The sequence below is a fragment of the Homo sapiens genome, chromosome 5 (assembly GCF_000001405.40).
Source record: "Homo sapiens chromosome 5, GRCh38.p14 Primary Assembly".
Taxonomy (NCBI): domain Eukaryota; kingdom Metazoa; phylum Chordata; class Mammalia; order Primates; family Hominidae; genus Homo; species Homo sapiens.
In genome coordinates, this window is record NC_000005.10 from 141,315,951 (window position 1) to 141,328,509 (window position 12,559).

Here is a 12,559-nt window from a genome sequence, read left to right on the forward strand (position 1 = left end):
TGCCATTTATTTTTACTGGAACCCAGAAGGAAAAGCAAATTTTCAAGGAAGAGGAAAAGTTCCATTTTGAACCTGTATTTTTTTTTTTGAGATGGAGTTTTGTTCTGTTGCCCAGGCTGGAGCACAGTAGCATGATCTCGGCTCACTGCAACATCCACCTCCCAGGTTCAAGCTATTCTCCCACCTCACCCTCCCAAGTAGCTGGGATTACAGGTGCCCACCACCATGCCCAGCTAATTTGTTTTGTATTTTTAATAGAGATGGGTTTTGCCATGTTGGCCAGGCTGGTCTTGAACTCCTGACCTCAGGTGATCCACCTGCCTCAGCCTCCCAAGGTGTTGAGATATAGGCATGAGCCACTGCACCCGGCCATTTTGAACATTTACACTTGAGTTGCCTGAGAGATACTTTCAAGTATGTTTCTAGTACACATCTGGCTAAACTAAACCTGAAGCACAGAAGAATCAAGGTTGGAAACGTGGATTTTAGAATCCACTTAGAACTCATAACTGAAACAGGAATAGTGAGATCAATATACTATTTTGTTATTGTATCCAGAATCTTTCCTTTCTGTTATTGATGGAACTGCCACCATTGGTGTTGAGACCTTGGTAAGAATAAACTACTTGATAAATGATCCACTGTAAAGCCAGATATGGTGGGAGCTTTTCAGGTGTCAATCTTCTAAGTGTAGCAAAATACCTAGATTACAAAAACAGTAAATTTTGTCACCTAGCATCCTAAACTGTTTTTTTGTTGTTGTTTAATATATATTATTTGGAAACCTCAAGAAATAATATAAAACCTAGATATTGAGGGAAACCTTGCTTAAGCTTACATATTCTGTGCTAAAATCCTAGTCACGGCCAGGCACGGTGGCCCACGCCTGTAATCCCAGCACTTTGGGAGGCCGAGGCGGGTGGATCACAAGGTCAAGAGATCAAGACCATCCTGGCCAACATGGTGAAACCCCGTCTCTACTAAAATTACAAAAATTAGCTGGGCTTGGTGGCACATGCCTGTAGTCCCAGCTACTCCAGAGGCTGAGGCAGGAGAATCGCTTGAACCCAGGAGGCAGAGGTTGCAATGAGCCAAGATAACGCCACTGCACTCCAGCCTGGCAACACAGCAAGACTCCATCTAAAAAAAAAAAAAAAACTTACTCATAAAAACGTTTCACTTAAAAAGATAAATTAGCCTTCTGAAGTCTGCAAATGTCAGCATATTTAATTATAGACCTGAGGACTAGGTAACTTTTTTTTTTTTTTTAACATTTCAATACTGTTTCTTGTCAGATAGAAGTAAAATGGACTTTAGGCCGGGTGTGGTAGCTCAGGCCTGTAATCCCACCACTTTGGGAGTCCAGGGTGGGCAGATCACCTGAGGTCATGAGTTCAAGACCAGCCTGACCAACATGGTGAAACCCTGTCTCTACTAAAACTACAAAATTAGCCAGGTGTGGTGGCACATGCCTGTAATCCCGGCTACTCGGGAGGCTGAGGCAGGAAAATCGCTTGAACCCAGGAGGCAGAGGCTGCAGTGAGCCGAGATCACACCACTGCACTCCAGCCTGGGCAACAATAGCAAAACTTTGTCTTAAAAAAAAAAAAAAAGAGGCCGGGCGCGCTGGCTCATGCCTGTAATCCCAACACTCTGGGAGGCCAAGGCGGGCAGATCATGAGGTCAGGAGATCAAGATCATCCTGGCTAACACAGTGAAACCCCGTCTCTACTAAAAATACACAAAAAAATTAGCTGGGCATGGTGGCGGGCACCTGAGTAGTCCCAGCTACTCAGGAGGCTGAGGCAGGAGAATGGTGTGAACCCAGGAGGCGGGGCTTGCAGTGAGCCGAGATGGTGCCACTGCACTCCAGCCTGGGTGACACAGCGAGACTCCGTCTCAAAAAAAAAAACTTTAAATATTTTCAAACCCAAGCTTCTCATAAACCAACCTGTCAAACAAATTGCATACAACTCTGCCTCTTTTATCAGTAACTGATTTTTCAAAAATAGCTTATGTTGTGAGGCATTAGATTATCTTTAGAGCATGAGAAATTTGGTACCAACTTCCTTTATGAGCAATTTTGATGAAATGACATTGATAAATGACCTCAGTTCTCAGAATATTAATTATAGGAACTCAACTGAAGAAAATTAGAAATATTAATCCAAACCAATGGAATGGTTCATTGGACTGCACTTGATAACCACTGCTTTGTTTCCAACATTTTATGCAGGTAGATTTAGCGCTTTTTAAAAAAGGCACAAAGGCCTTCATCTACAAAAATTAGGGTACTTTAAGAAAGCTCTGTATCTAATGTTTCCCAGCTTTCAAGTAGATCAAATAGAATTGGAATCTTAATATGATGCAAACATGACCATTCCCAATTTCTTTACCCCTGCTGTGTTCCTTTTTTTCATAAACCCTACTGCCTCTACCTGCAGAACGGGATCAAATTGCTTAGTCACTAAACTCCACCATAAAACCACCTCACAAGAGGACCTGACTCCCACCAACCATGAAAGAACAAGATACACTATAAAGTGAAAAACAGATGCTTTTATTTATTGTATTGGAAACAACTTAATAATTTGCATCTCTACATATAGAAAGCTGCTTTGAATAACTGGGAAAACAATTATTGCATAGGAAAACATATGCAAACTAGCATCATTGTCTCTAGACTAGGTTCTTCTTATTGATCTCACGTCATCACAAAGCAGCAACAGCAGCTTCTAGAAAATGGAGAAACAGTAAAGTCCTGCAATGAAGCTATAATTAAGGTTGAACCATACATTCCGCTAATCCTGCAACTTTCCTACAATCATTTTTCTGCCTATACAATCCTGCTTCTTATAGGATGAACACCTAGCAAAACAATATAAATTTGCTGAAAAACAAAATTACAAACAAATGAAAGAACTTAACAGAACACACAGCATTAAAAGGACTAGGAAGAGCAAGGTCTTAATACCCAGTACAATAAAGCCAAGAATTTTCTAATGCTGACCAGTCTGAAGACTGAAATTAAATATCAGTTCTTTTTACTTCTCTAGGAGTGATTCTAGCTCCTCTTGCAAAGAGCTGAGTTGCTCCTTTTCTCGGTCTTCCTTTTGTTTGAGCTCATCCAGTACAGCCTGAAATCTGTTCTTGAGAGCCAGATTTTCCACTTTCATGATGAGATCCTCTTGTCGTTTTGCCCTGTCCTGGGTCTCTTGGAGCTTGCCTTTCATGTTGTCAATCTGCTTCTGAATTCCCATAACCAGCTGATTGGTTCCTTCATTTTCCTGGTGCTGTTCATCTGATTCATTTAGCTTGTCCTGTAGCTGTCTCTCCAGATCTTCCTCCGTGTCAATGATGTTTATATCTTCTTCATCTTGATGCTGGGTCTCATCTTCATCCTCACTGCTGCTGCTGAGGTCATTGAATATCTCCCGAAGCTCATCATGTTCTAATGAGTCATGGCCCTGCCTGTGACCAGACATTCCTGGAGAAGAGATATCCAGGCCTTGATTTTCTGCCTCCTTTGTTTCATCTTCGGCAATTATTTCCCACCGAGTACTAACAGCTTCAGCATCTGTACTCAGCAATCGTTTCACTTCTTTTTCAACATCTGGAGATTCAATATATTTCTTCTTTGCTGTCTTCCGGAACCTTCTCTTCCTGACATTCTTTAGAGGCAGAGTAATTCCGTGGTTCCAGATAAACTTTTTCTCTTTGTCCTTATCCTTTTTCTTGCTTGCTTTAGGATCAGTGCTAGCAACTGGCTCCTCCACAGGAGGATAGAGATCACCATCAACTGTGGATACAAGCATCTGACAGATATCAGCTGTCTTGTAAAAAGTTTTTTTATCAATGGTTTTCAAGCTTTCCATAACACAGGGCAGGTCTACTAATTTTGAGGCCAATGGAACACGGTCCACTCTGACGATTCCATGACGCCCATCAGGATGTAACTCAATTGTCAGTCTGTCCTTGAGGTTGACATGACCAGACTGTACTGCCCTTCTCACAGTAGAGGCATATTCTGGAGGCAGACGTAAGATAAACTGGCTCTCCAGTTCGTGAGGAGCATCATCTTTGCTTTTACTCATCTTTATTTCCTTGTGATTCACTTCTCCAATAAATGCTGGTTACACTAAAAAGTTCCAGCTACTGCAATAGTTTAAAACACCAGTTTGCTATGAATTGAAATCTTTTAATTACAAGAAGTTCTCTGTAGATCAGCAGCTAAGCGTCTATTTTGCCTTAGTTTTTATTTAAGCTCCAAGTCTTTTCTCTAAATATGCTGTGACCGAATACCAGTCGTTAACACAAAGGCTTATTCACAGACTTAAGTTCATTAAATCAGATGCAATGCCAAGTCCCAACCTCTAGGTGCCGCTGCCGGACAACGCGGAGAGAGCTAGCTAGCTAGCTAGGGAACAGGAAAGCAAATGGCGGCTCCCCCGGAACGGTTTTCGGCCCAGAAAGCCCAGCAGAGATACTTTCAACTCACAAACTCTCCCGGAACAAAGACACTCAAAAAATCAGGGCTCAGCGAGCTCTCTTCGCCTCGGGTACTTACAATCCAGTGACGATTATAAGTTCAGTTTCACCGGGCCGGAGCGAAGGGAAGAGGAGGCCGCAAGGAGCCAAGCGGGAGAGAGCCGAGCGTCTCCTTGTCGTTTCCTTAATTCTTCCTGCCGCTTGGCAGAGTGATCCACTACCGATTACTGATGAAAGGGCCCGGGATGGGCAGCGCGAAATCTTGCCGAGAGGCGCAGCTCGCATCACCAGACCCCGCACCTCGCCGGCCCTCCGTCCGGGTCGCCTACCCAGCAAAAACGGAAGTGCTACGTCGCGACGCGGGGCGGGAGGCGGCTGTGAGTGACAGCCCCTCCGGGCGGAAGGGCGGAGCCCCAGCTAGCGCAGGCGCAATAGCGCAATTACGCTGCCCAGCGTGAAACTCATCTTTTCGCGAGAACTTGTTTTTCCGGGATGGAAATGACAGTGTTTCGGAAGAGCTGTTGGTTTCAAACTATTTAGAGCTTGGAAGTTCCAAGAAAGACACAGATTCGTCCCCCGCTAAGCCAGCACTTTTACGGGATCGCTGTGGGGCCGGATGGCTTCTAGACTTCCGGGTGATTCCGGGAGATGGGGGACGCCTTGCAGTAAGCGTCTTTGCTTCTGGAAACATCTCGGATGTTCCCTAGAGTCTAGCCTATCTGGTGCCAATACAAGAATGTGTAGCTACTATACAATGGATTTCAAAGTACCCAAATCAATGGAGTGAGGAGGACATGCAGCTTACTATATAAGTCTCTCTCTATATATATGTTTGTTTGTTTGTTTTGGAGATGGAGTCTCAGGCTGTCACCCAGGCTAGAGTGCAGTGGCACAATATTGGCTGACTGCAACCTCCACCTCTGGGGTTCAAGCGATTCTCCTGCTTCAGCCTCTTAAGTAGTTGGGATTACAGGCACGTTCCACTACCCCACCTAAGTTTTGTATTTTTAGTAGAGAAGGGGTTTCACCATGTTGGCCAGGCTGGTCTCGAACTCCTGACCTGAGGTGATCTGCCTGTCTTGGCCTCCCAAAGTACTAGGATTATAGGTGTGAGCCAGCGCGCATGGCCCAAAGTCTGTATTTTTAAATATAATTCCCTGTAGGGGAATTGTGCCTCTGGTTTTACTTGTGTTCTATAATACTTCTGGGGAAACAAGGGTGATTCCTTTTTATGTGCTTGATTTAGATGTAAATGTAAACAGAGAAGGAAGTGTTCTTTTGGACAGAATTGTCTGATAGACTGAGCATCTGGTTAAAGTAGATATAATTGAAGTATTGTTTCCTGTCTCTCATGTACAAGTAATTTTAAATTACTTTGACATTTTTTTTAACTCCACCTCTACTATTTTGCTGTTTTCTGCTTGTCTTTTCTATCAATAGTCAGGTATTCATCAACACATATTTTTAGTATTTTAACATAACTGGGTAACAGTTGGTACTTATTTCTATTTATTTCCATTTATTTTTAAAATATCTGGGAGAGCATCAAGGCCATTAATATTTCATTTCTATCCTCTAAAATATTAACAATTGCCCCTAAATTTAAGAGAATTCTCTTAAGATGTAATTAACATTTCCAAAATTCACTTTATTCTTGTATGATTGAAAGCTCCATGATAGTGATCTTCTTCTATCCTGGTCATTGTGTCCCAGTGCCTAGTACCAGAATGTGGGAGATACACAAAAAATATTTGCTAATTGAATGAAAAAACTTATCTGTCTAGAAAGATCATAGTCTCAAATCCTGTAGTGATTTCTGAGAGAAAATACATTCTTTGTCATTTTAAAATGAGATAGAGCCACTTTACATACATTTCCTTTCTAGTCAAGGACAATTCTAATTGTTATGAGGTGGGGAGGTTTACTAATAGTGTGTGTGAATGTGGTTTAGCTAGAATGAGATACTGTTGTGGGAGGAAATTAAAATGACCTGACGTTAGTTTGGTTTTTAATGTTAATTTTAAAAGAGAAAGTATGCCCTTCCAGATAACGGTAAATTATTTCTCTTTGCTTATAATGTGTTGAAGAATGTTAGCTGACTTACTTGTAATTTCCAGAATGATCTATTTCCTCTTTTTCAAAGATGAAGTTTTTTCTGTTACAGGCTTGAGCCACCTCGCCTGGCTGTGTTTTGTTTAACCATATACAATGTGAGGTCATTATACATGAAAATAATCCAAATATTACTCAGCATCTTCCCTATGAGTTTTATGATGCTCAAATATTCTTATCATAGAAGGTAACTTGAGATAAATTGTATGCAATTTTTCATTTTCCAAAATTACTGTGTATTTTAGTTTCTAAACCTTTCTTTACATGGAATATTGCCAGACATAGTTAAAAGGATTAACTGAGGTTTTCTTAATGTATCTAGCTCCTTCAGTCCTGAAATACATTTTCTGCTTTTGAGTTTAACACATTTTCTATATGCTGTTTTAGGGGAGGAAATTATATTGACCCTAAATATTTTTTTAAATTGGATTTATCAGTAGACATTAAGATAATCTGCTGGGTGCAGTGGCTCATGCCTGTAATACCAGCACTTTGGGAGGCCAAGGCGGATGGATCATCTGAGGTCAGGAGTTCGAGACCAGCCTGGCCAACATGGTGAAACCCCATTTCTACTAAAAATACAAAAAAAGGGCCAGGCGCCGTAGCTTACGCCTGTAATCCCAGCACTTTGGGAGGCCGAGGCGGGTGGATCACGAGGTCAGGAGATTGAGACCATCCTGGCTAACACGGTGAAATCCCGTCTCTACTAAAAATACAAAAAATTAGCCGAGTGCGGTGGCAGGCACCTGTAGTCCCAGCTGCTCGGGAGGCTGAGGCAGGAGAATGGCGTGAACCCAGGAGGCAGAGTTTGCAGTGAGCCGAGATCGCGCCACTGCACTCCAGCCTGGGCAATAGAGGGGACTCCTTCTCAAAAATAAAACAAAAACAAAAACAAAAACAAATTAGCCAGGCTTGGCGGCGGGCACCTGTAATCCCAGCTACTCGGGAGACTGAGGGAGGAGAATTGCTTGAACCCGGGAAGCGAAGGTTGCAGTGAGCCAAGATTGCACCATTGCACTCCAGCCTGGGCAACACTGGAGCAAAATTCCATCTCAAAAAGAAAAAAAAAAAAAAAGATAATGTGATGTGGCAGTCCTCTGCCTATCACTAAGGCCTAAGGCCTCTGCCACATCACATTATCTTAATGTCTACTGATAAATCCCCAGTTTTTTTTTAAAAAAAAGTTCCATTAGACATTCAGAAAAACTCTGAATTGATGAATTACACTCCTGTGGTTGTTCCATGGAATATCTGTGATACCAGTGAACAAAAGATTTGGGGAGAGCAATAAATTCCCCAGTGTGGTAACAAGTCCTCCAAAGGCTTCCTGTCTGTGATTAAGGAGTGTGGCAATCAGGTTACTAATAATCGTGTATGTTTGAAAATTCCCTTTAATACACTTTCTAGTTCTTTAAAGGGCTCCAAAATATAAGCTGCCCTTTAATACACTTTTTAGTTCCTTAAAGGGCTGCTTATACTTTGGAGGTTAAATTATGGGTGATGGGAGAAATCCTGCTTATATTTAGGAGGTAGAAAATTATAGGGGTGAGGAAATAGCAAATACCACAGAAAAGCCAGCTTACATATTGCTATATCACCATATATTTTAAAGATAAAAAGGTTAACTAAAAATATTTAGCAGTTCTTTTATCTAGTAGGATGTTTTCTATAGGAAAACATTAAAATCTAATTTATGCTGGTTTAAACAGTAAGAAAATCTATGATCCCAAAATACAGGTAGTCTAGCACAGCTTTGTCCTATAGAAATATGATGTGGGCCACAGATGGTCAGCCACAGATGTGATTTTAGATTATCTAGTAGCCACATTCAAATAGCAAAAAGAAACAAGTGAAATTTCAATAATTTTAATCCAATATATCTAAGATATAATTGCAACATATTTTTACAATAATGTAAAGATATTAATAATACGTTTTACATTCTTGTTTTGTACTAAATCTTCAACACCTAGTGTGTGTTTTACACTTACAGCACATCTCAGTTTAGACTAGCTGCATTTCAAGTGCTCAGTGGCCACGTGTGGCTGGTTGTTACTCTAGTGGACAGTGCAGGTCTAGAAGTTTCACTGCCTCTAGGCCAGATACAATCATGGTGTAGCACAAATTGTTTTTTCTTCCTAATTTTGAAGAATGAGCACTTATTTATACTTTTTCTGTTGTTTCAGCTCTGCTTTCCTCTCCTTGTGGAATTCTAAAGGCTGTAGTCACAAGATACCAGCCAGCAGCAATAACTGGAGAACTTTCTTCATTGTCCGTGACAAGAGAGTTACTCTCCCCAAACAGTCTATCTTTCAATCCAACTGGACCAACTTAGGCCATGTTCCCATTCTTAGCTCAGTAATACTAGGGAAATACCCTAAGCCTGTGTTTCTGAAAATGGTTGGGGAGAGGTGAGGTGACATTTGGTAATGTCTGGAGACATTTATGGTTGTCACAACTGTGGGGGGTGGGTCCTACTGGTATCTAGTATATAGAGACCAGGGATACTGCTAAACATTTTACAAGGCACAGAACAGCTCCCCACCACAAAGAATTATATGGCTCAAAATAGTACCAGGGTTGAGAAGCCCTGCTTTAAGCTTATTATTTTAAGTCTATATTCCTAACTAAGCACTGTCAAGAGGATGAGATTATCATTATTAGATTAAATTTATCAGAACCTACTACAGCTCTGAATAGGTTCTGCTTCCCTAGGTACATTAAGGGCGAACACCTAAACTAAAAGGAAGTGTTACAAGAGGAAAAAGGGGCATGAGCAACCAATAGTATCCATAAAAGAGCTGCTTATTTTTGTAATTGTGAAAGTATATATCTATTTTTAAAGTATGGATAAGCATCGAATGTAAATTCTTTATATCAGTAGTTACATAATGCAATTATTCATAATTTTACATTTTTATCAGTATTTTCTACCTTTTATAGTGAAATTTTCTCCTTTAATATATTGAATTTACAGTGAGAATTTTTTATAATTTTTTTACAGTGGATAATTTCTTGAGTAGCCATTTTTACAGAAAATAAGTTTCAATAGTGTGTCATCTTGAAAAGGAAATGTCAAGAGGGAAAAATTTGTAAGAATTCTTAGTCGAATTTTAATGTATTTTAGGCTGGGTGCGGTGGTTCACACCTGTAATCCCAGCACTTTGGGAGGCCAAGGCGGACGGATTACCTGAGATCAGGAGTTCGAGACCATCCTGGCCAGCATGGCGAAACCCCATCTCTATTAAAAGTACAAAAATTAGTTGAGCATCGTGGTGTGTACATGTAATCCTAACTACTAGGGAGCCTAAGGCAGGAGAATTGTTTGAACCCTTGAGACGGAGGTTGCAGTGAGCCATGATCGTGCCACTGCACTCCAGCCTGGGTGACAAAGCAAGACTCTGTCTCAAAAAAAAAAAAAAAAAAAATTAAGAATTTTAATAAAACGTTAGAACTAAATTTTGTGAAATGATCATTTTGCTAATATTTTATCAAAAACAATGATTTGTACCCTTCTTAGTAAAGCAGCTGGTATTTTAAAATATGTCTCGAGAAAAAAGCCAATACAGTCTCTTTTGAGGACCTTGAAAACTAACCTGCTAGGGATATCATACTAGGCCTCTGGGTGCCGCTGTCCGCCAATCCGTGGCTGGAGGGAAACAAAGCAATCCACTGACGCAGCAGTCCCCGCAGGCTTTTGAGACACACATTAGGAGAGGACTCTGCCCGCTGTCTGTCTCACAATCTGCTCGAAATATCTTGGTCAGGAATCTCAGGATGTCTAGTGACCCCGAGTGAGGTGCTGCCTTTTATTCCTGAGCATCTTTGGAAGCAGGAAGCAGGGAGCAACGGTAGCGAGAGGTATTCGGATCTGAGTATCAGCAGGAAGAAGAAACAGAGGAAGAAGTCCCCCATAAGGAAGGCGTGAGGAGCGCAGGAAGCGCTGTTTCCCTGCCTGAGATCTTTATTCTACTAGGTCTTTATTCTACGTAGCCGATACGCTGTAAAATTCTGGAAGAGAAGGCTAGGGGTTTAAGGTTGGTAATCTCTCAGAAGATCTGCGTCTCGGTGACGGAAAGAACTAAGGGTAAGTGCTGAGAAGCCTCTCTTTACAGCCAGAGAACGAGCCAGAGCCGAGCTTGAGAATGACGGGATAGATCTAGCAGTTATGCCCAAGGAAGACCCTCGGCCCTTTGAATTTGAAGGCACTGAAAATCGTATAAATGTTTTCATATAAACGTATGCATCTTTGATATAAATAACAAAATGGCTTTTAGCACAAATTTTGTTTTGGAAATTTTGAAAAACGTCTTAATAAGAGGAATGTTTACTCTTAAGTCTGCAGTAGATTTTGAACACCGGCAGTAACTGTACAAATATATCAGATTAGTTTTAATAGCCATCTCCCCTTCCCCTACAAGTAAAGGAGAGTACTACAGCAGTATGTACTCTGAATTGCTGCTATTGAAGAACCCCTGAGCCTGTGCAGCGTGGCACTCCTGTGGTCCCCATTACTCAGGAGGCTGAGGCAGGAGGATTGCTTGATGCCAGCTAGAGGCTGCAGTGCACTATGAGAACACCTGTGAATAGCCACTGCATTCCAGCCTGAGTAACATGGCCAGACCCCATCTCTTAAGAAAAGAAAAGAAACCCTGAACCAGAGGAGCAGAGCTGCCACCACTTAGTGGTGGGGATGGGGCAGAACAGCTCAGGGCAAGACACAGGCCTTGGATGCCAATGCCAGCCGTCAGATATTGAGCAATGTGTAAGTGGGGTTAGCCTGCAGGAGAACCTGCTCGCCACCTCCTCCTCTTCATTCTTTAGGTGATCCCCATTGACCTAGACAATATCTTTAATATAGAGTTCTCCTGATTTTTCTACACAATTTTACAGGGCATACAGAATATATTTCCTGTCCAATAATGACAGAAATACTTGATTTTGAAGAGTAACAGTTATAGCTTGGAATAGAAGACTGGAGGCAGTTTGAGGGCCGACTTCAGAGTCCTGGTTGAAATGAAGGTTGAGAAGTATAATGCAGTCAGTGCAGGTGACTTTCAGCTGGGTATCTAGTCCTATCAGAGGTAAAAACTGTGGTTGCCCTAACCAAAACAATAGGACTAAGAGACCTTAAATGAAAGATGAAAGTTATTATAGAGAGAAATGATCATACTGGCAAACAATTCACCTCCAAGAATTATGATGTGACTCTTTGTCAGATACTCACAGATGGAATTCTAAACTGGTAGCAGACCCTGAAGGACAATGTCACCATCAGAACCACCAACAAGGACAAACTGTCCCTCTCCTGCATCACCCTGCATACCATCTGCATCCACAAAAATGCTCATTCTTCAACAAGCCTCCTATTTCTTTTGGGTGACTGGGAACACTGCCCAGCACCTCCATCACATGCTTTAGCGCTTCCCACCCTAACTTAGGGTCCCATATGCCTCCTGTTTCTTCTTGACCAGTGACCTGCCACTGTGGGCACTGTCATTCTACATGTCAGTGAGTGCAGAGTGCTATGGTTACCATGCAGACTATCTTTGAGCTGACTCTGCAGGCCAGTGACCAGGGTTCAACTTGCTCAGTGTCATCCTGAACCTGCATGTGATGGTGGATGACCATTGCAAAAATGCAAGGACACTATGCCAGGAGTTGCAGCCAAGTGGGGCCCTCTTTGATGCTGCACCACTCACAATGCAACCCAGCTATCCCATCACCAAAGTGGACACCAGCTGGGGCATAAAGGCTGACTGTCCTATCATGTGCTTCAGGCCAGCTAATGTGGCTCTTCAAACTAGGGATGTGCACGAGCTAGATGCGTGCCGTGTCACTGTGGGTAACAGAGATGCAACCTGCCAAGGTTTGTTGGTCACCGTGGTCAATGGTGAATCATCACGCTGAAACATCACCTGGTTGCTGCTCATAGTTTGCAGGAGTTGCTACCAGACCT

General features: G+C 42.0%; 1 protein-coding gene across 1 annotated transcript, besides 4 other annotated features; it reads right to left on the minus strand.

Moving 5' to 3' along the window:
• TAF7 (TATA-box binding protein associated factor 7) lies at positions 2,540 to 4,834 on the minus strand. The gene has a single exon (NM_005642.3). It carries the CDS (start codon positions 4,092 to 4,094, stop codon positions 3,045 to 3,047), a length of 1,050 nt encoding a protein of 349 aa, NP_005633.2. The 5' UTR covers positions 4,095 to 4,834; the 3' UTR covers positions 2,540 to 3,044.
• Positions 4,363 to 4,562: an enhancer, noted in NCBI's record as "active region_23291". NCBI's record gives its function as "activates an Ori minimal core promoter by ATAC-STARR-seq in GM12878 lymphoblastoid cells {active_cell/tissue: GM12878}" and the evidence as "EXISTENCE:reporter gene assay evidence [ECO:0000049][PMID:35858748]".
• Positions 5,143 to 5,202: an enhancer, noted in NCBI's record as "active region_23292". NCBI's record gives its function as "activates an Ori minimal core promoter by ATAC-STARR-seq in GM12878 lymphoblastoid cells {active_cell/tissue: GM12878}" and the evidence as "EXISTENCE:reporter gene assay evidence [ECO:0000049][PMID:35858748]".
• Positions 5,213 to 5,362: an enhancer, noted in NCBI's record as "active region_23293". NCBI's record gives its function as "activates an Ori minimal core promoter by ATAC-STARR-seq in GM12878 lymphoblastoid cells {active_cell/tissue: GM12878}" and the evidence as "EXISTENCE:reporter gene assay evidence [ECO:0000049][PMID:35858748]".
• Positions 10,378 to 10,497: an enhancer, noted in NCBI's record as "active region_23294". NCBI's record gives its function as "activates an Ori minimal core promoter by ATAC-STARR-seq in GM12878 lymphoblastoid cells {active_cell/tissue: GM12878}" and the evidence as "EXISTENCE:reporter gene assay evidence [ECO:0000049][PMID:35858748]".